Here is a 26,561-nt window from a genome sequence, read left to right as displayed (position 1 = left end):
CAAGTCCAGTCTCACTCCCACCGTGCCCCACCAACAGCACCCAGTTTATATCTAGGCAGCCAGCAAGCAGAGCTGAGATCTTGCCCCAGGCTACAAGCCTCTCCACTGAGAAAGCAAGCAGGGATCTCAGGTCTTGCCCCTCCCCACCTGCCCTCATCTTTGGCTTGGCTACTGTGCTCATATCTCCACTTCATCTCCCCTGACCCATGAATTCTGCTCAGGAAAATTCAGGCTCAGTTGAAATTATTACAAAGTTCAGCTAGACGCTTATTTAACCCTGTGACCCCTCCCCATTTCTGCTGGCTGCCTTCCCCAAGGACTCCATGAAATACAGCCAGGAATGGGTTCCTTGGGCATGAGCTGGGGACCAGTAGTGACTCCAGGGCTCTTCCCACTGCTTCTTCTACTTTTATATTTCGCTTGGCTCTCTAAGTCCATTTCAGTTCTAGGTAAGGTTAAATCCTTCTCCCATGATCTGGATTTTTAGGTTTCCCTGTGAAGATGTGTATTTCGAGGCAGACTTTTCTCCCCATCACTTTGGGGACTCACAGTGTTTTGGATCTCTTCTGGAGTTTGCAGTGGCAAGCCACATTTTTCAAAGGGTCTGTGAAAGGGTCACTCAGTTTTTCCAGTATGTTCTTGTGGTGGTTCTAGAGCAAAAGTTCACAATGTGAGTCTCCTCACTCTGTTCTGTCCATCCAAGTGGGAGCTACATGTTAGTCCTGTCTCCTATTTGCCATTTTTCCTAAACTCCCACCTTTTCATACTCTTAATGGGATCTTTTGGAGAGTAAAGTTTTAATTTTAAAGAAGTTCAATATATTATTATTTTTCTGTTTTGCTTTGTGTTTTTAGTATCCTATTTAAGAAATCTGTGCCTAACCTAAAGATACAATCTTTTTTCTGCTATAGTTTATTCTATAAATGTCATAATATTTGCTCTTAAATTTGTGTCTATAATCTATTTCAAGTCCATTTTTATAAAGTGTTAATAAAAGGTTAAATTTTATTTGTTTGCACATGAAAATCCAATTGTTTTGGTATCATTTATTGAGTATTCTCAACAAGTCCATTAATTACCTTGAAAGTTTTGTAAAAAATCAATTGACCTTATAAGCATTGTCTATTTTCAGACTTTCTAGTTTGTTCCATTGACCTACATGCCTGCCTTTCCCCATACCACACTGCCTTGTTTGCTATACTTTTATAATAAGTTTTGCACTCACTTAGTAAATGTCCTCCAACTTTGCTTTTTGTTGTTGTTGTTTTCTATTGTAATTCCTTTGCATGAATTTTAGACTAAGCTTGTCAATTTTTACAAAGAAAACTTACTGAAATTTTGATTAGTACTGAATTGAATCCACAGAATACTTAAGGTAAAATTGACATCTTAAAAAAATTATGTTTTCTGATACATGAAAATGATATATATCTCTATTTAGGTCATCTTGAGTTTCTCACAGTTGGTTTTCAATGGAGAAGTCTAGTACATATTTACCCCAAAATATTTCATATTGTTCAATGCTATAGCAAATAATATTTTTACTTTAATTTCCAATTGTTTCTTTTTACTATATAAAAATACAATTGATGTTTGTATATTGATCTTATATCCTACAAATGGGCTAAACATAATTATTAGTTCTGGTAGCATTTTTGAAAATGCCTTCCGATTTTTGGCAGAGACCATGATATCATCTGCAAATTAAGACAGTTTTTTATTTATCCTTTTTCAATCTCAATGCCATTTATTTCTTGTACTTTTTTAATACATTAGCTAGGACCACAAATACAATATTAAATACAAGTGGGGAAAGAGGATATTCTTGCCTCACATGAGAAATAATTTATATTTATTTATTTGTTTATTGAGATAGGTTCTCACTTTGTCACCCAGGCTGTAGTGCAGTGGCGTAATCACAGCTCAATGCAGCCTTGACCTCCAGGGCTCAAGTGATCATTCCACCTCAGCCCCCCAAGTAGCTGGCACCACAGGCACACATCACTATGCCCGGCTGATTTTTAGTAGAGATGGGGTTTTGCCATGTTGCCCAGGCTGGTCTCACACTCCTGAGCTCAAGTGATCCAGTGACCTTGACCTCCCAAAATGCTGGGATTCCAGGCATGAGCCATCATGCTCAGGCAGAATTTAGTCTTTCATCATAATATTGGCTATAAGTTTTTCAGAAATTTTCTTTTTCAGGTTGAAGTAGTACTTTTCTGTACCTAGTATTCTGAGGATTTCCACTGTGAAAAGTGTTGAATCTTTTAAGTGCTTTTGTTGGATCTATTGAGATGATACTAAGGATTTCCCTTTCTGTCTCTTAGCATAGCAAGTTCCAATGACTGATTTCTGAGTGTTAAACCAATCATGTATTTTGGTGAGAAATTCTACTTGGTCATAAAATATTATCATTTGATACATTTGTGAATTATATTTGCTAAAATCTTGGTAGGAATTTTGCATCTATATTCATTAGAGTTATATATTGTTGCTATGTCTTTGGTTTTAGTATCAAAGTAATACTGGCTACAAAGAATGAGATAGAATTTATTCCCTCCTTATTTATTTTTTGAAAGAGTTTACGTATCATTTATATTATTTTTCTGTAAATGTTTGATAGAATTTACCAGTGAAACCATCTGTGTGCACTGTTTTTCTGTCAGTAAATTTTTAATCAAAAATGTAATTCTTTAATAGAGATTGGACTGTTTTGTTATTTATTTTTCCTAAGTTTTGATAGATTATGTTTTTCATGGAATTTGCCCATTTTTCCTACATTTTCTAACTTATTGACATAAAGTTTTTGCAACATTCCCTTAGTATTCTTTTAATGTTTCTAGAATATATAGTGATATCAACTCTCTCATTCATGATATTGGCAATTTTTGTCTTCTCTCTTCTTTTCCTGGTAAGTCTGGGTAGGGAATTATCAATCTTATTAATCTTATCAAGTAACTAGCTTTTGGTTGCACTGATATTTCTCTATTGATTTTTTGTTTTCTATTTCACCGTTTTCTGTGCTGATTATTTCATCTGCTTAGTTGGATTCCATTTGCTCTTCCATTTATAATTTCTTTAAAGTGGAAGCTAAGGTCATTGACTTGAGTACTTTTTTCTTTCCTAGTATAGACATTTTGTGCTATAAATTTCCCTCTTAATTCAGCTTTGATGGCATCCACAATTTATTTTCATTCAGTTCAAGGTATTTTTAAATTACGCTTTTGATTACTTTTTAGTTCGTGGGGTATTTAGAATTGTGTTATTTAGTTTCCAAATATTTGGGGTTTTTCCAGATGTTTTCACATTATTGATTTCTAGTTTAATTTCACTGTGGTCGGAGAACATAGTTTTTATGACTTGAATAATTTTAAAATTTATATGGACTTGCTTTATGGCCAAGAATATGGTCTATGTGGGTAAACATTCTATGTTAACTTGATAAAACAATCTATTTTGCTGTTGTTGGGTGGAACATTCTATAAATGTCAATTAGTTCAAATTGGTTGACAGTGTTGTACAGATTTTAGACACCTTTACTGATTTTTGTCTACTTGTTCTATCAATTATTGAGAAAGGGGCATTGAAATATTCAAGTATAACTGTTGATATGTCTACTTCTCTTTGCAGTTCTATCAGGTTTTGCTCTGTGTATTTGAGTGTCTAGGATTGTTGCTTTAACCATTAGGATTGTTATGTCCTCTAGATAAACTGATCCCTTTATTATTAAGAAATGATCTTCTTTTTATCCCTGGTAATATACTTTGCCTTCAAATTGATTTTGATATTAATAGAGCTACATAAGCTTTCTTTTGATTAGTATTAGCAAATGAATTTTTTACCATCTTTTACTTTTTTTTTTTTTTTTTTTTTTTTGAGAGGGAGTCTTGCTCTGTCACCCAGGCTGGAGTGCAGTGGCGTGATCTGGGCTCACTGCAAGCCCCGCCTCCTGGATTCAAGCCATTCTCCTGCCTCAGCCTCCCGAGTAGCTGGGACTACAGGCACCCGCCACCACGCCCGGCTAATTTTTTTTTTTTTTTTTTTTTTTGTATTTTTAGTAGAGATGGGGTTTCACTGTGTTAGCCAGGACAGTCTGTATCTCCTGACCTCGTGATCCGCCTGCCTCGGCCTACCAAAGTGCTGGGATTACAGGCGTGAACCACTGTGCCCGGCCCCATCTTTTAATCTTTTTCTCTTTCTGCTTAAAGTGTTTTGCTGACAGGATATAATTAGGTCTTTCTAGTTTATCCAAATGTCAATCTCTACCTTTTAATCAGGATATTAAGCCATTCACATTTAATGATAATATTGATATGATGATGTTTAAACCTACTTTAATTTAACCATCATAATTTCTTACTATATAACAAGAACCTCCTGCCTTGCCATCTCGGAACAACAAGCCTAGCTTAGTACAATAAGAAGATGCTGAAATGGCAAAGGTTCGTGTTAAAGGTCAGCTATTCCAAAGAATCTGAGACAGCAGCCCCAATCTTCAATGAACTTGAGGTACATGACAGTAAAAATATCCCAGATAAAATCATAGAATGAGAATAAAAATAACTAATCAGAAGCCAAGTTATAGTCCCATAAATTACCAGTCTTTACTTATTGTCTACCATAAATATCTATTCTGGGAATATAATAAATTTCATCAGTAGAGTACATTGTGAAACACAGGATTTGTATCTTCATTTAGAATTTTTTCGTAAAATTCCAAGTACTTTGAATCTGGTTTCCTTGCCTCTGATTAAACTTTCCTATACACACAAACATATAAAATGTGTGTATGTCTTTGGAAGAAAGAACATAACTAAATATTATCACCCACAAATAAGTAAAATTCAGTAAGACAAAAATAACTGGGGGCAAACTTGGAATACCCCTAAACTTTTATTTTTTCTAAACGTAGGAAGCAAATAATATTTTTGAAATGATTTCCTAATAGATTAGGTATTCTTTTATAATTAATGAGAGGAATATCCCAGCTGCCAGGAGCTTCGAGTATTAGTAGAGGGTCTTAGGTCAGATGGAAAAGGACACAGTATCTTTAAGACACTGAGAATTTTCTCTAGAGGGCTAGTAATTTTGAAAATATAAAACCAATACTCTTCTCAGGATGTATAGTGAGTCTTTTAATATATCTCATATCTTCACAGGACTAAAAGTGGATTAAAAAAATAAAAATTCCAGACAAAGCAGGAAAGACTTATTGAACTCTATGATATCACATGACAGTGTGGATTGATTAACTTTCCTCAATGAATTGATTCTGTACAAGCAAAAATCTTATGGATCAAACTCATTATATTTTATCATAAATAGATACAAATGTGTATATTCTATGATTTTAAAAAGTAATACTGATAATTCAGAGAAGTTATCAGGTATAATTCAGAAAATATCCTTGCAGAAAAACTAAGAATAGATGTGGGTGGGGAGTATGAGCGTGGCAGGATAGGGGATCCCAAATATCATATTATGACTGATGGGAGAGAGACAAAGAGAGACCTGGAGAAAATCAGCTGTAACTGGCTCCATCCTGAAGCTGTCATCTTTTGGCAAAGTTACAAGGATGTCTTTTCATTGCAATGTGCAACAGAAAAAAAGAGTTCTCTGCTAATAACTGTGGTGACAGTGATCTAATGAAACACATAGAAGCAGCAGCTTGCAAAGGAAACAGTCACCAAAAAGAGAAGACTCTATCTTCCTTTGTTATTAAATAGATAATATATGCCAGAATGGCGCAGTCAATTGACTTCCTTTAATAAACAAAATCTATTTGATGGGTTGTGGTAAGACAGTGTATAAAGTCAGATAAAGCAGCACCAGATGAAAATAAACACAAAAGATATAATTTCTGCCCAGGACATTTCATACAGCCACAGGTCACTTATGACTCATTGTTTTATAATATGTACATCTCTCCAATGCATCCTATTAATTCCTCTTTTGAAAATTTAATCCCTATCTTGGAGATTACAAACCACTGTCATGGTAGTTCATCAAAAAGGTATCAGACAAAATAGCACCACCAAAGGTTAGAAGAGATAGAGCTCTTCAAGGACCCAAGAGTCACCATGACTCTGAGGACATGTTTCTAATCACTCTGGAAATAAGAAGGAACTACAAAATACAAAGCTTTACTCAATACTACTCAATAGTTCTGCTTCGTTGCTCCCAACAACCCTGTGTTTCAGATCTGCCACAATACCAGCCAATCCCTAGATATACTGCAGATACACTTTCCAGCTTCTCTGCCTGTATAGATATTATTCTCTTCATAAGAAGCCCTTTGTCTTATCCTTCAGCATGCAGCTCATCTGTTAGATCCTCTCTGAATCTTCCATTTTTCCCCCACTCACACCATTGAATTCTTCTGAGCTGCTTAGTTTGTACTTAGCTCTCACAGAAACTTACATTGCAATTGCTTGCTTTGATAGCAAGTGTTTCACTTTTAAAGTGGTTCTTGTTTAATATATTTATGTTTATTATATGCATGCATCTTTCCACAAAGATCTTGAAGTGGCTTATCATAAAAGAAACTGACATCAAATATTTACATAAAAATAGAAAACTAGGACCAGAGAAAAGATGAATATAAAAATGTCGAATCTAAGAACAACAAAGTTGTCCTGCTGAGGTTTCAACTATTTCTGTGAGCTTCTTAGAATCTGCTGTAAAAAGATTCTCATCAGAAAGGAGGAAACTATTATTTTCCTTGGTTCTTCAAGGGAAACAAAATTATTCCCAACTGGCATATAAAACAAAATTCAGTGTAGAAGATTATATGTAAAAGATATTTGTCTTAGTCTATTTTCTGCTGCTATAACGGAATAACTGAAAGTGAGTAATTTATCAAAAAGAAAAATGTACTTTACTCATGGCTCTGGAGGCTGGGAAGTCCAAGCCGCAGCTAGTGAGAGCCTCCTTGTGATGAACAGTGGAAGGGCAAGGGAGCACTCATGTGAGATCAAGAAAGAAAGGGGCTAAACTTACCCCCTTTTTTTAATCAAGAATCCACCCCCAAGGTAACTAACCTGCTCCCAAAATAATTATCAATAATTAGTCCACTGATGAGACCAGAGCCATTGTGACCTAGTACCTTTTAAAGGTTCCAGCAGTGTTGCATGGGGGATTAAATTTCCAATACCTAAACTTTGGGGGACATATTCAAGCCATAGTGACTTTAGTCCACAACAAAGGCAATGTTCTCGACATGATGGACCATAATATCTCAAATGAATTTCAAATTATTGTTTCTTATCTCTATATTCAGCATAAATAGAGCTCATAAGTTTAAAATGCAACATGGTGTTGGTGATTCTACAGTACTCTGAATCAAGATAAGCTAACAATTAGCCTTCTGATAATTTAGTTTGCTACAAAAATAGAAATCCTATAGGGCCAATATTTAAAACAGGTTTTCCTAAGTACTTTCTTCAGGCGTTCTCTTACTAACAAAAGTCAGAGCTCACTAGACAAGCATTTTCAACACTGTGTGGGTATTTTCTTAATAAATAGGAGAGTGAATTGGAAAAATAATTTGGGAAGCACTATTTTAAACAAAATTAAACTCATTCATTTTCTATTGGAATTCTCAGGGAAGTAAATTTGCTAATATTCATTATAAAATCCCAAGCAGATATTATAGTTTATTGCAATTCCAAAGTTTATGTGACACACAAATGTATATGACATGAAAAGAATCTTTTAATTTTTTTATATAACTTGTAACACTTTTGCCAAAGGCATCTAAGGAACATTGGACTAAGCTACAGTGTGATGCGCATTTAAGGAAAGAAAGTATCAAGTTGTTACACATCTGCCTAGGTAACTAACACTGTACCTGAAACCACAAAAATAAAAATTTTAAAGGTAGCAACTGAAGGTTAGGAAAGAAAACCATAATTAAATATCATACATCGAATGAGTTTAGAGAGAGAACATCATGCTGAGGCCTCACAACCCAGACTACTATATAACCAACACTGATATAGCTCTTACCATGTTCCAAGCTGTGATCAAAGTGCTTTGATTAAAACAACTCACTTAATTTTCCCGACAACCTTCACATGGGTACTTTATCTCCATCTAACAGATGAGGAAACTGAGACATACTGAAGTTAAGTAACTTGCTCAAGGCCACACAGCTATGAGTTGGGAAGTTGGAATCTGAACCTGGGCATTCTAGTTCTAAAGTCTATGCTCTTAACTACTACCATGGAAGGTATGAAAAGCCTGGACCAAATGATAGGATAACTTGGCAACTTGGCTTTAAAGCTAGAGCTGTAAAGAGAAATAGGTGGTCCAAAAGACAGAGTCCAATAGGTGAAGGAAATTCATAAATGGTTTACATTGTCATCAACTAGAGAGGTAGATTACAGGCAATATTTGAAACCTACTGGGAAGCACTGTCATATTCCAAGAGACCATCCCTTTGTGGCCACAGACATCTGGGTTCAAAGCCTGTCTGACTTCAATAGCTAGAGAAACTTTTATGGGTCTCAGTTTCCTAATACATAAAATGGTGATATAATAGCCTACCCTGGAGAGCTGTTTTGAAGATGGAAAAATCTGGGTAAAGCACTTTACATGGTGTCTGACATAAGCTGGCACTCACTGGAGCATGGCTGTCATCATCAGTCAAGTCCTCGTGAGGTAAGCTTGTTTGGCTCCACTTTGTAGATCAGGAAAGTATAGAGACAGATTTCAAATAACTTATCAAAGGTCACACAGCTTGTGAGAAGAGAACAGATTAATACCCTGCTCACTTGACTTGAAATCCAGTGTTCTTAGCTCACTGGACCACAAAAAAACAAATGATGCTGCAGTTCCTAGTCCATTTGCTGCAATAACCTAAAAGACAGACAGCATTAGCAAAAGGCAAACGAAAGAAAAAATATACTAAGGAGACATGATCAATCTGTTAGAGAGGAAAAGGTGAAGAAAAAGCTGTGCATGGCAAGAGAGAAAAATCTAGAGCTGATAAAGAATTCATGGCCATGATGAAAGATTTATAGAAACTCATGCAGAACGCCTTGTGAGGGTTCAGAGAGAATCCTGATGTGATAAATGGTTCCTCAGCTCCTGATGTGAGTTTCTACCCAGGTGCCTACACACTGATATTCAGATTCAGGAGCCATTCTTTCTGTAAATGATTGTAGTTCACTTCCAAGACTTTCCAGAAAAACTTTTACATGTGTGGAAATAGATTGGAAATAGCCAAATGATTCTCCTTGCAGGAATTCATCACTCAGTTTCAACAACAGCAGCAGCGCTACAGTTTAGGGAAGAATGATGGTCTTTTCCACTTGACCCAGGATTTTAAAAGTAGCTGAAGGATTTTTTCCCTAACGTCTCTCCATGTAAGTGCCACTGAAAGTACTAATTTAGAAAGAAATACTTTTGAATTTAGCCTAAAAGATAGCTGCTTCCTCATAGCCATACATTTCTTCTTTTTCTTTTTATTTGTTTATTTATTTATTTTGAGATAGTGTTTCACTCTTGTTGCCCAGGCTGGAGTGCAATGGCGCAATCTCTCGGCTCACCGCTACCTCTGCCTCCCAGGTTCAAACAATTCTCCTGCCTCAGCCTCCCGAGTAGGTGGGATTACAGGCACGTGCCACCACGCCTGGCTAATTTTGTAATTTTTAGTAGAGACGGGGTTTCTCCATGTTGGTCAGGCTGGTCTCGAACTCCCAACCTCAGGTGATCCACCCTCCTCGGCCTCCCAAATTGCTGGGATTACAGGCGTGAGCCACTGCGCCTGGCCTTAGCCATACATTTTTTTCTAAACTGTTGCTGGGCTGACCTAGCTTCAGTCCACTAGCCACAAGCTAGAATGTGGAAATATTCCTGAAGCATGCATTTCTTTAGGCCAGACATATTTTGGTGGAAATGGATGATTCTTTGAAAAATCTCTAGGGTGCTTAAAATGTTCCTAAAGAATTGCACTGTGGTGCTATTCTATACATTTTCAAAATCACATTTACAGAAAAGTGGAGGAAAGGACTGATAATAATACAATTAACAAGCCTAAACTGGGTAATCAACATTTTTTAAAAAATCAGACAGTTAAAATCAAATAACTTAGAATTAGTAAATGTCGATGTTTTTCCTTTCCAGAGTAATAAAGGGAAATTTCTAGCTTCAAAAATGCATAAATCATTTTGTTGATAGATATGTCATGACGATGATGGAGGATTTACAGAGCCTACTCAATTAAACCATATTTATCGTTTCAATAATGTTGCTCATAAAATAACCTAAGCTTCAGTTACCTGTCTATAAAGGTGATGGAGGATAAGAGGAGGTTGGCTCTCCAGTTCTAAAAGTCCATCATTCAATCCCAACTGACAGACAAAAAGGAACTCTATAAAATTAACTGGCATCTGGAGGAACACACATAATAACCCTGGGAAAAATTATTATAAAGAAAGGGTTGTACTTTTTCTTAGCCAAATCTAATCACTCTTATTTTTCTTTAAGAAAACTTCGTTTCCACTGTAAAAGTATTTGTAGGCCAGGCGCGGCGGCTCACGCCTGTAATCCCAGCACTTTGGGAGGCCGAGGAGGGTGGATCATGAGGTCAGGAAATCGAGATCATCCTGGCTAACACGGTGAAACCCCGTCTCTACTAAAAATACAAAAAAAATTAGCCGGGCGTGGTGGCAGGCGCCTGTAGTCCCAGCTACTCGGGAGGCTGAGGTAGGAGAATGGCGTGAACCCAGGAGGTGGAGCTTGTCGTGAGCCCAGATGGCGCCACTGCACTCCAGCCTGGGCAACAGAGCAAGACTCCATCTCAGACAAAAAAAAAAAAAAAAGTATTTCTAAATATTCAGTTCATTAAGAAATAAACATGTCAGTGAAAATTAAATTCATTGAGTTTTGCTAAACATTTTGATATTTTTATTTTGTTTTTTATTTTCAAAAATAAATTTTAACAGTTGGGTTAAATTTTTTCCTCAACATTTTTATATGATTTCATCTGTGAACAAAAAAATTTTAAACAAAGCCATATTTATCAAAGTACAAAAAAACAGATTGTTAATATTAGCACAATCAAATTAATGCCTTCAGTATAAACACCAATGACATCATTAATCTTATAAAATAGCCCTGTTAAAATGACATAAAGTTTTGAGTTTCTCAAGTGGAAGGGTAGAAACAGTCTCCAACTCTCAGGAAACTCTAGGATAAAAAGTGAAGAACAGGGAAAATTCATTCAAGATTTTTCGTCGATGGCATTCTTCAAGCAAAATATGTCAGACTTCTCCATTTTCTGTTTAGAGCCCATTGTCTAAAATGAGAAGAGGAGGTAGGCCAGGACTGAATTGTAGACACCACCATGTGGAGACTGTCTTCCTAGGCCTGAGTAATAAATCTAAAGTGCAATTTCCAAGGTCAGCTTTCTCTACTCACTCCTTCAGCAAAGATACCTTCCTTTCACTAGACCCCCATAATGGGCAGATATCTCAAATCCCTAAGCAACTATTTGCATTTCAAGAGAAAGTGAAACCCTCTCACCTAAAGTTCTTTCCTACATACATAGTCCTGCTATAGGTAGTACAATTACATACTTTGACACTCTATGACATTAAATAGCAAGTCACCTCTTTAAGCTTTAATTTTGTCAAATAATAGTAAGAATTGCATGGAGGCAAAGTGAAAGTTAAATGAGGTCATCCATGTGCTTGACATAATGTTGGGTACATAATAAGAACTCAGTTAAATATTAGTTACTATTACTGATAACATTTATGTAGGAAAGCACTTCCTAAACTCTACTTTATAAAAATCTATACTTGTAAATGATTATTGCAACATCCTTGCGAGGTAGAGCTTGTCACTTAAACCCCATTTTATGGATAAGGAGTTAGAGGCTTAGAGAGAAGTTATATAAATTATTAAATTTAATGTAGAAAAACAAAAGGCAAATAGGTGATACAATAGGAACCCAAACCCAGGGGTTTTACTCTATAGGCCCCAAACCCTTCTCATTACCTTATTTTATGAGATCTCTTTGTCTTTCATTGACTTTGAGCTATCTTACAACTCTGAAAATCATACATAACCAGTAACAATGCAAATAATACTTATCAATAAATACCCAAATGGATTTTGACTGGTATAGGTGCATTTATTTTTCTTCTCTCCTGGCAGAAGAAACCAGTTTTGTATTTATTAAGCAAATTCATTTAAGCATTCTATTGCCTATAAATATTTCTACTCTGGAGTCTCCTTTGAACCAGTTGTAACATCTTACTGGTTTCCTCACTAATTAATCAGTTAAATAAAATCATTGGCATATGTTCATTTTATTTTTGTGGAAGAGGGGAAATCATGCTGTTAATTTTTGTTTGTTTGGTTTTTAATTAACCTTTAATACAGGGGAGATTTTGACCAATTCTCATACCCTCCTTGGAGCACAGGGGAAGCCTTCCTGGGGAGTCACCAACGTGCAAACTTTGGTAGCAGAAAGATGACAAATATTGAGCTTGATTCTCAGAATGTGTAAACTGTTCTCTGTTAGTCACTCTAGAAAACTATAGTAACTTTTACTCTTATAGGTCTCCGTTGAGAAACAAATTTAGGCTTTTGTTCCACAGGTTCAGAGAGAAATAGCAGCAAGACAATCAGAACAACTTAATGAGGTCCCATTGGCCTTCTCTCTTAACTTCTCTCCTTTCAATCCCACAGCATTTACAGAAAACAGAATGGTCGCTGCATTAGCATTCATCTCTACTTTGGCTCTTAACTGACCCTACTCACAGCCAATCACTTGGAGTAACTTTGCTTTTTCTAAAGTCTAGCAACCTGGATGCAAACAGAACAGAGCACCCACTGTAGATTCATGCTCCCTTGCAAACCCAGGACAGAAAATGCTGAGCCCTCAGGAGGCAGCCCTTCTGTTTTCAGCCTTGCAGTAGGAAAGGAAACCCTGCTCTCTCCCCACTACCATGGTGTTCCATTCCATGCTTCATGTTGTCCACATATTCCAGGAGGGGTGTGGAGCCTTTGTACTCATTTATAAGGTAGGGGAACAGATGGGGCTGGCTTAATTTGCAAAGACAACTAGTTATAAGTACAGATGGAGTAAGTAGCACAATTATTACCAAAGAACTGGGCTCTGAGGCTGCCAGATGGTTTGGTTAAAAAAAAAAAAAAAAAAAAAAGAAGGCTGGCTGCCAGATTCACAGCAGGGACCATCCTGCTCCCGGGATATTGAAAATCATACAAATTTAAATCACCCTGGCTACTTCTCTAGTACTCTGTTTCTCCACAAATCTAGCCCTTCTCTGTAGCTGCACAGGAAACAGGAAAAAGTCAGATTACCAGCTGATCAGAATGGCACATGAACAGACTTCCCAAAGGTGAATGTGAAAAAAGGGAAAGATTGCTTGTCCATAATAGAGGTGGTGTCAGAAATCTGCTTTTTCAAAAATAAGAACTAAGCTCTAAAAGGAGCACACGGGTGCAAGGTAGAGACTGTGTTCTTTGTTTTGTTTGTGTGTTTCCCAAGTCCAGTGCTTACATTTAGAGCTCTTCCTTTTTTGGCAGTCTCCCCAAAATGAGATCTTCCTGACTCTCTACTGAGGCTCAGCACTGAAAGCTGTGTCATTGGTATCTCCTGGTTAAGTTCACTCAAAGTACCAAGCTAATTAGTCTGGCAAAGTAAAGAAACATTTTTGAAAAAGAGAAAGTTAGTCTGCACAAACTCCAGATGGTTGATTAAGCAATCTGAGCCCTGTGGCTAATTTTATCGTTTCCAGGGAGGACAGCCTTCTTCATCCTGCACCAGCTCCTCTGTGGATCACATCCATTAATGGTGATGATGGAGAAAGGCTTCTGAACAGCAACTGAACCTTGAAAGTTAATAATCCCACAGTACTTTTTTCTTAATATTGTAGGTGCTATTCCTTTCTTCGGTTTGTTGTCCCAAAGGGTTAGCTGTGGTTATGTGAGGGTCTGAAAGTATATACCTGCACTGTGGGCAGAAGCCATGAACACCAGAATCTTCTAGGATCATGTTCTTGTGAGACTGGTATCTGGAAGGTTTTTTGATGTGGCAGGGCTGGAACTTGATGTAGACATTACAGAATGATTGTCAAAGATGTTTTACATGTCTCAGAGCCTTTCATTCTTGTCTTTGTTTTCTAATCTTAGGTTCATTTGGGGAAAGCATTTAAAAATTATTAAGTGAGCAACTGCTTCCTTCTCATAAACCTCTGCATACTGGCTTTTTCATTCAACAAGTGTTTATCAAATCATCTTCCTGTACCAGGGACCTCTGCCATGATAGAAATATAGTATAACCATGCAATTTGATTCTAAAAGCAAAAAGATCAGTATTTGAATCCCATCTCCCTATTTACTGGACAAATAAGCAAGTTAGTTTATATCTCTAGTCTATAGTTTCCTCAGTTATGAAATGAGAATAATAATAGTACCTATTCCCTCTTGCTGTTATTACAACATTCAAGGCCAAGATACAGCATAAATATAGCTAACAAAGTACCTAGCAGGCAGAAGTCACTCAGTCATCAAATAAAAGATTTCTGTGCTGTATGTATAAACATTCTATTCTATTCTAAGCTCCATCTGGCCTCCTTCCATCTTTCTGGCTTCAAAAAGTTATAAAGTAAATGTCTTGAGGGTCTATTTAGCCCAGTATTTTTAAAGTTGTCTGTAGGTCATTATTAGACCAAGAGAATACACTTGACCAATGTATTAGTCCATATTCATGCTGCTGAAAAAGACATACCTTATACTAGGAATAAAAATAGGTTTAATGGACTCACAGTTCCATGAGGCTGGGGAGGCCTCACAATCATGGCAGAAGGCAAAAGGCACTTCTTACATGGTGGTGCCAAGAGAGAATGAGAGAGAAGCGAAAGCAGAAACCCCTTATCAAACCATCAGAACTTGTGAGACTTATTCACTACCATGAGAACAGTATGGGGAAAACTACACCTGTAATTCAATTATGTCCCACTGGGTCCCTCCCACAACATGAGGGGGATTATGGGAGTACAATCAAAATGAGACTTGGGTGGGGACACGGAGCCAAACCATATCATTTCCCCCCGGCACCTGCCAAATCTCACGTACTCACATTTCAAAACCAACTATACCTCCCAACAGTCCCCTAAAGTCTTAACTCATTTCAGCATTAACTCAGAAGTCCACAGCTCAAGTCTCATCTGAGAGAAGGCAAGTCCTTTCTGCCTATAAGCCTATAAAATCAAAAGCAAGTTAGTTACTTCCTAGATACAATGGGAGTAAAGGCATTGGGTAAATGTCATTCCAAATGGGAAAAAAATGGCCAAAACAAAGGAGCTACAGGCCCCATGCAAGTCTGAAATCCAGCAGGGTAGCCAAATCTTAAAGCTCCAAAATGATCTCCTTTGATTTCATGTCTCATATCCAGGTAATGCTATGCAAAAGATGAGTTCCCATGGTATTGGGCAGCTCCACCCCTGTGGCTTTGCAGGGTACAGCCTCCCTCCCAGCTGCTTTCACAGACTGACATTAGGTGTCTGTGGCTTTTCCAGGTGCACCATGCAAGGTATCGGTGGATCCACCATTCCGGGGTCTGGAGGACAGTGGCCCTCTTCTCACAGCTCCACTAGGCCCCAGTAGGGCCTCTGTATGGGGGCTCTGACCACACATTTTTCTTCTCCACTACTGTAGCAGAGGTTCTCCATGAGGGCTCCACTCCTGAAGCAAACTTCTGCCTGGGTATCCAAGCATCTCCATACAGCCTCTGAAATCTAGGCAGAGGTACCCAAACCTCAATTCTTGACTTCTGTGCACCTGCAGGCTCAATACCAGGTGGAAGTTGCCAAGGCCTGGGGCTTACAGCCTCTGAGGCCATGGCCCAAGATGTACCTTGGCTCCTTTTAGCCATGGCTAGAGCAGCTGAGATGCAGGGCAACAAGTCCCTAGGCTGAACACAGCAGAGGGGCCCTGGGCCTGGCCCATGAAACCATTTTTTTCTGCTAGGCCTCTGGGCCTGTGATGAGAGGGGTTGCCATGAAGATCTCCGACATGTCCTGGAGACTTTTTCCCATTTGGCTCCGCCTTACTTATCCAAATTTCTGCAGCCAGCTCGAATTTCTCTGCAGAGAATGGGTTTTTCTTTTCTACTGCATTGTCAGGCTGCACATTTTCTGAACTTTGATACTCTGTTTCCCTTTTAAAATTGAATGCCTTTAACACACCCAAGTAACTTCTTGAATGCTTTGCTGCTTAGAAATTTCTTCCACCAGAAACCCTAAATAGTCTCTCTCAAGTTCAAAGTTCTGCAAATCTCTAGGTCAGGGGCAAAATGCTGCCAGTCTTTTTGCTAAAACATAACAAGAATCACCTTTGCTCTAGTTCCCAACAAGTTCCTCATCTCTATCTGAGACCACTTCATCCTGAATTTCATTTTCTATATCATTATCAGCATTTTGGTCAAAGCCATTCAACAAGTCTCTAGGGAGTTCCAAACTTTCTCACATTTTCCTTTCTTCTTCTGAGCCCTCCAAACTGTTCCAACCTCTGCCTGTTACCTAGTTCCAAAGCTGCTTCCACATTTTTGGTTATCTTTTCAGCAATACCCCACTTTTGGTACCAACTTACTGTATTAGTCCGTTTTCATGCTGCTGATAAAGACATGCCCAAGACTTGGAAGAAAAATAGGTTTAATGGACTCACAGTTCCACGTGGCTGGGGAGGCCTCACAATCATGGCAGAAAGTGAAAGGCACTTCTCACATGGCAGTGCCAAGAAAGAATGAAAGAGAAGTGAAAGTCAAAACCCCTTATCAAACCATCAGATCTCGTGAGACTTATTCACTACCATGAGAATAGTATGGGGAAAACAGCACCCATGATTTAATTATCTCCCACTGAGTCCCTCCCATAAGATGTGGGAATTATGGGAGTATAATTCAAGATGAGATTTTGGTGGGGACATGGAGCCAAACCACATCACCCAGTAATTGTCAAGGAAGGAAGCATGATTTTAAAATTTGGGGGAACAATTTTGCTGTTCTAATGTGATCTTTCAAAAAAGTATAGACATTGAAACATATTGTTTTTCTATAATTTACTTTGTTAATACTTCTTTATATTTATTATATCTGTTAAGGTAACATATTGATTTTATAAGAATACACAAAATTAATTTATATTACCTAAATTTCATTTAAGGATAATAAAGAGAGCATTAAATATATTTGTTATAAATAGGATGCCTTAAGCCTGGTAAAACTGAAAACAGTTAAACCGTATGTTTCTTAGCTAAATTCTTTTCATTGTTCCTGCTTTCGTATCTGCACCCATGTTCTCTAATGTCCTTACTACATTTCAACTTTGTTATCCAGAAACCAAGATTCTTGAATTAATTTTTTTCATCCATCCCAACACTCAAACTGGACCCTGGCATTGCCTGGGAAGCTGAAGGGCAATCTCACCCTGCCTCACACTTGTTCCAGTTATGATCACAGCACAAAATACTCAGGTCTATACTCCCCAGAACTTTACTCCAGGTTATTTGTGCCTTCTCCTCATTGGCTCATTTTTCCTCTGCTAACTACATGCCCCAATATTTTGATACCATACATTCCAAAATACTAACAAATTTCTTACACTTTCTGTGGTTCTTAATGGGGCACTTCTGGAACCCATTCCTCCCCTCTTCCATGATGACAGTTCCTTCACCTTATACCATACAATTCATTAGTCACATGATTATTCTCCTAGCTCCTCAATGCTAATCTCACCCTCTCAAAATTTCATCTTCTTTTAGAGTTGATGTCCCAGTAGATCACCCTCACTCCTTGTTGGTGCTGTCACCTAATGTTGTCCCTGGCATATCTCACACGTTCTTTGTGTAGCAAGATAATTATCTTCCTTATTGCCATTATTTTTTCCCACCATTCATAATTTTCTATATAGTTTACACAAGGACAAAACAGATATAGATCAAATGAAAAAGTCAATTGAAATGTCTGAAAGAGACATAAAGTCTTAAAAGTGATAGCTTTTTTAGCCAGGCTCTTGAGAAAGAGAAATGTTATTGAATTCTAAAAGCTTCCTTTAAATATGAAGAGACATACTCTGGTCAACATAAAGCATAGAGTTTATAACACAAGCCAGAGAGCCTAAGCTTATGGAAACTAAAGAAATAGAGATGTCTTATGCACAAGTGCTATGAAGGAAAAAACAGGGTTCTATAGAATAACAGACTTCCCTAATTTAGATTGGAGGGACAGGGAAAACTACTTAGAGGAAGTAACCTGAGATAAGAAAGATTTGTCAGTATTATTCTAACTAAAATTTATGTAAAAAAGCCTAAGTTATAAGCTAAGTGGACATTGGAGAGTGCTGAATGAAAGGGATATCAGATTGAAGAGTCAGTGGGAATTTGAGGACCATTTATTCATTTACTCAACAAATACTTCTAGAGTGATTTCTATATGCCATAGATTGGTCTATGTATTAAAGATCCAGTAGTGAGCAAAACAGATAAAAATCCGTGCTCTCACAAAGCCTATATTTTGGTGACAAGAGATGGCCAATATACAAAATAAATTAGTAAATTATAGAAAATATAATTCTAAGGAGATAAATGAGTTCAGGAAGAGGGAAAGAGAGTATGGGTCACTGTTTTAAATAGGACAACTAAAGAATACCTCATTAAGAAAGAACACTTTGGGGGAGGAGCCAAGATGGCCGAATAGGAACAGCTCCGGTCTACAGCTCCCAGCCTGAGCGACGCAGAAGACGGGTGATTTCTGCATTTCCATCTGAGGTACCGGGTTCATCTCACTAGGGAGTGCCAGACAGTGGGCACAGGCCAGTGTGTGTGCGCACCATGCGCGAGCCGAAGCAGGGCGAGGCATTGCCTCACCTGGGAAGCGCAAGGGGTCAGGGAGTTCCCTTTCCGAGTCAAAGAAAGGGGTGACCGACGCACCTGGAAAATCGGGTCACTCCCACCCGAATATTGCGCTTTTCAGACCGGCTTAAGAAACGGCGCACCACGAGACTATATCCCACACCTGGCTCAGAGGGTCCTACGCCCACAGAATCTCGCTGATTGCTAGCACAGCAGTCTGAGATCAAACTGCAAGGCGGCAACGAGGCTGGGGGAGGGGCGCCCGCCATTGCGTAGGCTTGCTTAGGTAAACAAAGCAGCCGGGAAGCTCGAACTGGGTGGAGCCCACCACAGCTCAAGGAGGCCTGCCTGCCTCTGTAGGCTCCACCTCTGGGGGCAGGGCACAGACAAACAAAAAGACAGCAGTAACGTCTGCAGACTTAAGTGTCCCTGTCTGACAGCTTTGAAGAGAGCAGTGGTTCTCCCAGCACGCAGCTGGAGATCTGAGAACGGGCAGACTGCCTCCTCAAGTGGGTCCCTGACCCCTGACCCCCGAGCAGCCTAACTGGGAGGCACCCCCCAGCAGGGGCACACTGACACCTCACACGGCAGGGTATTCCAACAGACCTGCAGCTGAGGGTCCTGTCTGTTAGAAGGAAAACTAACAACCAGAAAGGACATCTACACTGAAAACCCATCTGTACATCACCATCATCAAAGACCAAAAGTAGATAAAACCACAAAGATGGGGAAAAAACAGAACAGAAAAACTGGAAACTCTAAAACGCAGAGCCCCTCTCCTCCTCCAAAGGAACGCAGTTCCTCACCAGCAACAGAACAAAGCTGGATGGAGAATGATTTTGACGAGCTGAGAGAAGAAGGCTTCAGACGATCAAATTACTCTGAGCTACGGGAGGACATTCAAACCAAAGGCAAAGAAGTTGAAAACTTTGAAAAAAATTTAGAAGAATGTATAACTAGAATAACCAATACAGAGAAGTGCTTAAAGGAGCTGATGGAGCTGAAAACCAAGGCTCGAGAACTACGTGAAGAATGCAGAAGCCTCAGGAGCCGATGCGATCAACTGGAAGAAAGGGTATCAGCAATGGAAGATGAAATGAATGAAATGAAGCGAGAAGGGAAGTTTAGAGAAAAAAGAATAAAAAGAAATGAGCAAAGCCTCCAAGAAATATGGGACTATGTGAAAAGACCAAATCTACGTCTGATTGGTGTACCTGAAAGTGATGTGGAGAATGGAACCAAGTTGGAAAACACTCTGCAGGATATTATCCAGGAGAACTTCCCCAATCTAGCAAGGCAGGCCAACATTCAGATTCAGGAAATACAGAGAACGCCACAAAGATACTCCTCGAGAAGAGCAACTCCAAGACACATAATTGTCAGATTCACCAAAGTTGAAATGAAGGAAAAAATGTTAAGGGCAGCCAGAGAGAAAGGTCGGGTTACCCTCAAAGGAAAGCCCATCAGACTAACAGCAGATCTCTCGGCAGAAACCCTACAAGCCAGAAGAGAGTGGGGGCCAATATTCAACATTCTTAAAGAAAAGAATTTTCAACCCAGAATTTCATATCCAGCCAAACTAAGCTTCATAAGTGAAGGAGAAATAAAATACTTTATAGACAAGCGAATGCTGAGAGATTTTGTCACCACCAGGCCTGCCCTAAAAGAGCTCCTGAAGGAAGCGCTAAACATGGAAAGGAACAACCGGTACCAGCCGCTGCAAAATCATGCCAAAATGTAAAGACCATCGAGACTAGGAAGAAACTGCATCAACTAATGGGCAAAATCACCAGCTAACATCATAATGACAGGATCAAATTCACACATAACAATACTAACTTTAAATATAAATGGACTAAATTCTCCAATTAAAAGACACAGACTGGCAAGTTGGATAAAGAGTCAAGACCCATCAGTGTGCTGTATTCAGGAAACCCATCTCACGTGCAGAGACACACATAGGCTCAAAATAAAAGGATGGAGGAAGATCTACCAAGCGAATGGAAAACAAAAAAAGGCAGGGGTTGCAATCCTAGTCTCTGATAAAACAGACTTTAAACCAACAAAGATCAAAAGAGACAAAGAAGGCCATTACAGAATGGTAAAGGGATCAATTCAACAAGAGGAGCTAACTATCCTAAATATTTATGCACCCAATACAGGAGCACCGAGATTCATAAAGCAAGTCCTGAGTGACCTACAAAGAGACTTAGACTCCCACACATTAATAATGGGAGACTTTAACACCCCACTGTCAACATTAGACAGATCAATGAGACAGAAAGTCAACAAGGATACCCAGGAATTGAACTCAGCTCTGCACCAAGCAGACCTAATAGACATCTACAGAACTCTCCACCCCAAATCAACAGAATATACATTTTTTTCAGCACCACACCACACCTATTCCAAAATTGACCACATAGTTGGAAGTAAAGCTCTCCTCAGCAAATGTAAAAGAACAGAAATTATAACAAACTATCTCTCAGACCACAGTGCAATCAAACTAGAACTCAGGATTAAGAATCTCACTCAAAGCCGCTCAACTACATGGAAACTGAACAACCTGCTCCTGAATGACTACTGCGTACATGACGAAATGAAGGCAGAAATAAAGATGTTCTTTGAAACCAACGAGAACAAAGACACCACATACCAGAATCTCTGGGACGCATTCAAAGCAGTGTGTAGAGGGAAATTTATAGCACTAAATGCCCACAAGAGAAAGCAGGAAAGATCCAAAATTGACACCCTAACATCACAATTAAAAGAACTAGAAAAGCAAGAGCAAACACATGCAAAAGCTAGCAGAAGGCAAGAAATAACTAAAATCAGAGCAGAACTGAAGGAAATAGAGACACAAAAAACCCTTCAAAAAATCAATGAATCCAGGAGCTGGTTTTTTGAAAGGATCAACGAAATTGATAGACCGCTAGCAAGACTAATAAAGAAAAAAAGAGAGAAGAATCAAATAGACACAATAAAAAATGATAAAGGGGATATCACCACTGATCCCACAGAAATACAAACTACCATCAGAGAATACTACAAACACCTCTACGCAAATAAGCTAGAAAATCTAGAAGAAATGGATAAATTCCTAGACACATACACTCTCCCAAGACTAAACCAGGAAGAAGTTGAATCTCTGAATAGACCAATAACAGGCTCTGAAATTGTGGCAATAATCAATAGTTTACCAACCAAAAAGAGTCCAGGACCAGATGGATTCACAGCCGAATTCTACCAGAGGTACAAGGAGGAACTGGTACCATTCCTTCTGAAACTATTCCAATCAATAGAAAAAGAGGGAATCCTCCCTAACTCATTTTATGAGAACAGCATCATTCTGATACCAAAGCCGGGCAGAGACACAACCAAAAAAGAGAATTTTAGACCAATATCCTTGATGAACATTGATGCAAAAATCCTCAATAAAATACTGGCAAACCGAATCCAGCAGCACATCCAAAAGCTTATCCACCATGATCAAGTGGGCTTCATCCCTGGGATGCAAGGCTGGTTCAATATACGCAAATCAATAAATGTAATCCAGCATATAAACAGAGCCAAAGACAAAAACCACATGATTATCTCAATAGATGCAGAAAAAGCCTTTGACAAAATTCAACAACCCTTCATGCTAAAAACTCTCAATAAATTAGGTATTGATGGGACGTATTTCAAAATAATAAGAGCTATCTATGACAAACCCACAGCCAATATCATACTGAATGGGCAAAAACTGGAAGCATTCCCTTTGAAAACTGGCACAAGACAGGGATGCCCTCTCTCACCGCTCCTATTCAACATAGTGTTGGAAGTTCTGGCCAGGGCAATCAGGCAGGAGAAGGAAATAAAGGGTATTCAATTAGGAAAAGAGGAAGTCAAATTGTCCCTGTTTGCAGACGACATGATTGTTTATCTAGAAAACCCCATCGTCTCAGCCCAAAATCTCCTTAAGCTGATAAGCAACTTCAGCAAAGTCTCAGGATACAAAATCAATGTACAAAAATCACAAGCATTCTTATACACCAACAACAGACAAACAGAGAGCCAAATCATGAGTGAACTCCCATTCACAATTGCTTCAAAGAGAATAAAATACCTAGGAATCCAACTTACAAGGGATGTGAAGGACCTCTTCAAGGAGAACTACAAACCACTGCTCAAGGAAATAAAAGAGGACACAAACAAATGGAAGAACATTCCATGCTCATGGGTAGGAAGAATCAATATCGTGAAAATGGCCATACTGCCCAAGGTAATTTACAGATTCAATGCCATCCCCATCAAGCTACCAATGACTTTCTTCACAGAATTGGAAAAAACTACTTTAAAGTTCATATGGAACCAAAAAAGAGCCCGCATCGCCAAGTCAATCCTAAGCCAAAAGAACAAAGCTGGAGGCATCACACTACCTGACTTCAAACTATACTACAAGGCTACAGTAACCAAAACAGCATGGTACTGGTACCAAAACAGAGATATAGATCAATGGAACAGAACAGAGCCCTCAGAAATAATGCCGCATATCTACAACTATCTGATCTTTGACAAACCTGAGAAAAACAAGCAATGGGGAAAGGATTCCCTATTTAACAAATGGTGCTGGGAAAACTGGCTAGCCATATGTAGAAAGCTGAAACTGGATCCCTTCCTTACACCTTATACAAAAATCAATTCAAGATGGATTAAAGATTTAAACGTTAGACCTAAAACCATAAAAACCCTAGAAGAAAACCTAGGCATTACCATTCAGGACATAGGCGTGGGCAAGGACTTCATGTCCAAAACACCAAAAGCAATGGCAACAAAAGCCAAAATTGACAAATGGGATCTAATTAAACTAAAGAGCTTCTGCACAGCAAAAGAAACTACCATCAGAGTGAACAGGCAACCTACAACATGGGAGAAAATTTTCGCAACCTACTCATCTGACAAAGGGCTAATATCCAGAATCTACAATGAACTCAAACAAATTTACAAGAAAAAAACAACCCCATCAAAAAGTGGGCGAAGGACATGAACAGACACTTCTCAAAAGAAGACATTTATGCAGCCAAAAAACACATGAAGAAATGCTCATCATCACTGGCCATCAGAGAAATGCAAATCAAAACCACTATGAGATATCATCTCACACCAGTTAGAATGGCAATCATTAAAAAGTCAGGGAACAACAGGTGCTGGAGAGGATGTGGAGAAATAGGAACACTTTTACACTGTTGGTGGGACTGTAAACTAGTTCAACCATTGTGGAAGTCAGTGTGGCGATTCCTCAGGGATCTAGAACTAGAAATACTATTTGACCCAGCCATCCCATTACTGGGTATATACCCAAAGGAATATAAATCATGCTGCTATAAAGACACATGCACACGTATGTTTATTGCGGCACTATTCACAATAGCAAAGACTTGGAACCAACCCAAATGTCCAACAATGATAGACTGGATTAAGAAAATGTGGCACATATACACCATGGAATACTATGCAGCCATAAAAAATGATGAGTTCATGTCCTTTGTAGGGACATGGATGAAATTGGAAACCATCATTCTCAGTAAACTATGGCAAGAACAAAAAACGAAACACCGCATATTCTCACTCATAGGTGGGAATTGAACAATGAGATCACATGGACACAGGAAGGGGAATATCACACTCTGGGGACTGTGGTGGGGTCGGGGGAGGGGGGAGGGATAGCATTGGGAGATATACCTAATGCTAGATGACACGTTAGTGGGTGCAGCGCACCAGCATGGCACATGTATACATATGTAACTAACCTGCACAATGTGCACATGTACCCTAAAACTTAGAGTATAATAAAAAAAAAAAAAATTAAAAAAAAAAAAAAAAAAAAAAAAGAACACTTTGAACAAAGACCTAAAGGCAAGGGAGTTAATAACAGGGGAGATCTGTGGAACTATGTCCTGGAAAGATAAAGCAGCAAGTACAGAGACTAGGAATTGAAGGAAGATTCTGTGTGCTCTATGAAGCAAAGAAGCCAGTAAGGCTAGAAAAGATGCACATGGAGGAGAGAGGGGATGAAGTTAGGGAGCTAATGGAAGAAAAATCATGCAAAGCCTTATAGACTGCTGTGAGGACTTCATTTTTCTTTTTCTCTGAGTGAAATGGTAAGCCATTGGAGGGTTCAGAGCACAGAAGTGCCATGATCTGACTTATGTTTAGACAAATCATCTTGGCTCTGTGTTGAGAGAATGGATTTTAGGTACAGGTAGGAAGACCACGTAAAATATTATTGCAACAATGCAGGTGAGAAATTGATGGTAGCTTGGATCTGGGTGGTAGTAAAAGAGATGGTAAAAACTAGACACATTTTAAAACATGATTTTGTGATATGGTAGATGTATCTTGTGAGGAAAAGAGAGAAGTTTAATGACTCCAAGTTGGCTTTATTTGTTCCCTCTAAACAACTAGAAAAACAAGGTCACTAAGAATGGAATTGTAATTTACTCAGTTTGAGAAGACTTGGTTGGAAGGGGTTTAACAAGCAAGAGTAGTATGAGGCATGCCAAGCTAACTATGACAAGTAAACATCTAGTGGAGAAGTTGTGGCAGCAGTTAGATAAAGCAGTCTGGGGTTGAGATGAGAAGACAAGATTGTAGCTTTAAATTTGGGAGTCATCAGCATCTGGATGATATTTAAATATATGATATTCAGTGAGATCCCTAAGGATATGTGAAGGAAGGAAGGGCTGAAACTTAGGACATTCCAAAGAGAGACCAGCAAAGGAACCAGCAAAAGCAGTTGATGCTACAGAAGAAATGGACAGTGTGTTGCATTAGAAGCAAAGTGGAGAAAATGCTTCAAGATGGAGGGAATTAATTACTGTTCAATTGCTTAAGACTACTTAAGTAAGAAGGCTGAAAACCAATCATTGGTTCTGCAACATGGAGATGATCTTTTACCTTAAGAGGGTAATTTTGTTGAAATGATGGGTGCAGAAATTTCAATGAAATGAACTTCAGAGAGAGTAGGAGGAGGAAAATTGCAGACAGAAAGCTTAGAGAACTCTTTTAAGAAGTATTCCTGTGAATAGGGATCTGAAAAGTGAGACTAGCTAATAGGGATCTAAAAAATGGGGTATAGAGAAAAATGGGGACAAAAATAACAGCATTTATGCCAACTAATTAGAATGAACCAGTTAAAGAAGAAAAACTGATGATGCAGGAGAAACAACAGAGAACTTATAGGGAAATGTTCTTAAAAAGAGAGTGTGAGTAGACAGTTGGCAGAAGTGTCAACCTCTGGGTGGAGGATAGACAGTTCATCTGTGGGAAAATGAGAAGGTTGAGCACGTGGGTAAGGATACTGCAGGTGTGAAGGTGGGAACTTGGGGAAGAGCGTATATCTTATGTTTCCTAAAAAATGTGTCAGTATCTCTTGAGCAGGACCACTATGGATTCACCCTTCATAGTGCCAAAACTTCACATAATAGAACCCCAACAAATTGATCTTTAAGAAGAATAAAATGCTACACACTATATATACATAATGAACACACACATGCACACACATACGCTATATCTGTGTGTACACAATTCATCCTTCCCACAACTTCAGCAAAGAACAATGTCCTCAACCCCTATGATTGTTAAACACCAAGTTCAAGTGTACAAAAAACTCTGAAAGTTACATAGCC

General features: G+C 38.6%; 2 annotated features.

Moving 5' to 3' along the window:
- Nucleotides 18,464–19,027: an enhancer, noted in NCBI's record as "OCT4-NANOG-H3K27ac-H3K4me1 hESC enhancer chr1:69205499-69206062 (GRCh37/hg19 assembly coordinates)". NCBI's record gives its function as "activates a minimal SCP1, AML or CMV promoter by ChIP-STARR-seq in primed H9 embryonic stem cells {active_cell/tissue: H9 hESC(primed)}" and the evidence as "EXISTENCE:reporter gene assay evidence [ECO:0000049][PMID:30033119]".
- Nucleotides 19,028–19,591: an enhancer, noted in NCBI's record as "OCT4-NANOG-H3K27ac-H3K4me1 hESC enhancer chr1:69204935-69205498 (GRCh37/hg19 assembly coordinates)". NCBI's record gives its function as "activates a minimal SCP1, AML or CMV promoter by ChIP-STARR-seq in naive H9 embryonic stem cells {active_cell/tissue: H9 hESC(naive)}" and the evidence as "EXISTENCE:reporter gene assay evidence [ECO:0000049][PMID:30033119]".

The sequence above is a fragment of the Homo sapiens genome, chromosome 1, assembly GCF_000001405.40.
Source record: "Homo sapiens chromosome 1, GRCh38.p14 Primary Assembly".
Taxonomy (NCBI): domain Eukaryota; kingdom Metazoa; phylum Chordata; class Mammalia; order Primates; family Hominidae; genus Homo; species Homo sapiens.
This window is presented reverse-complemented; position numbering and strand designations above follow the sequence as displayed.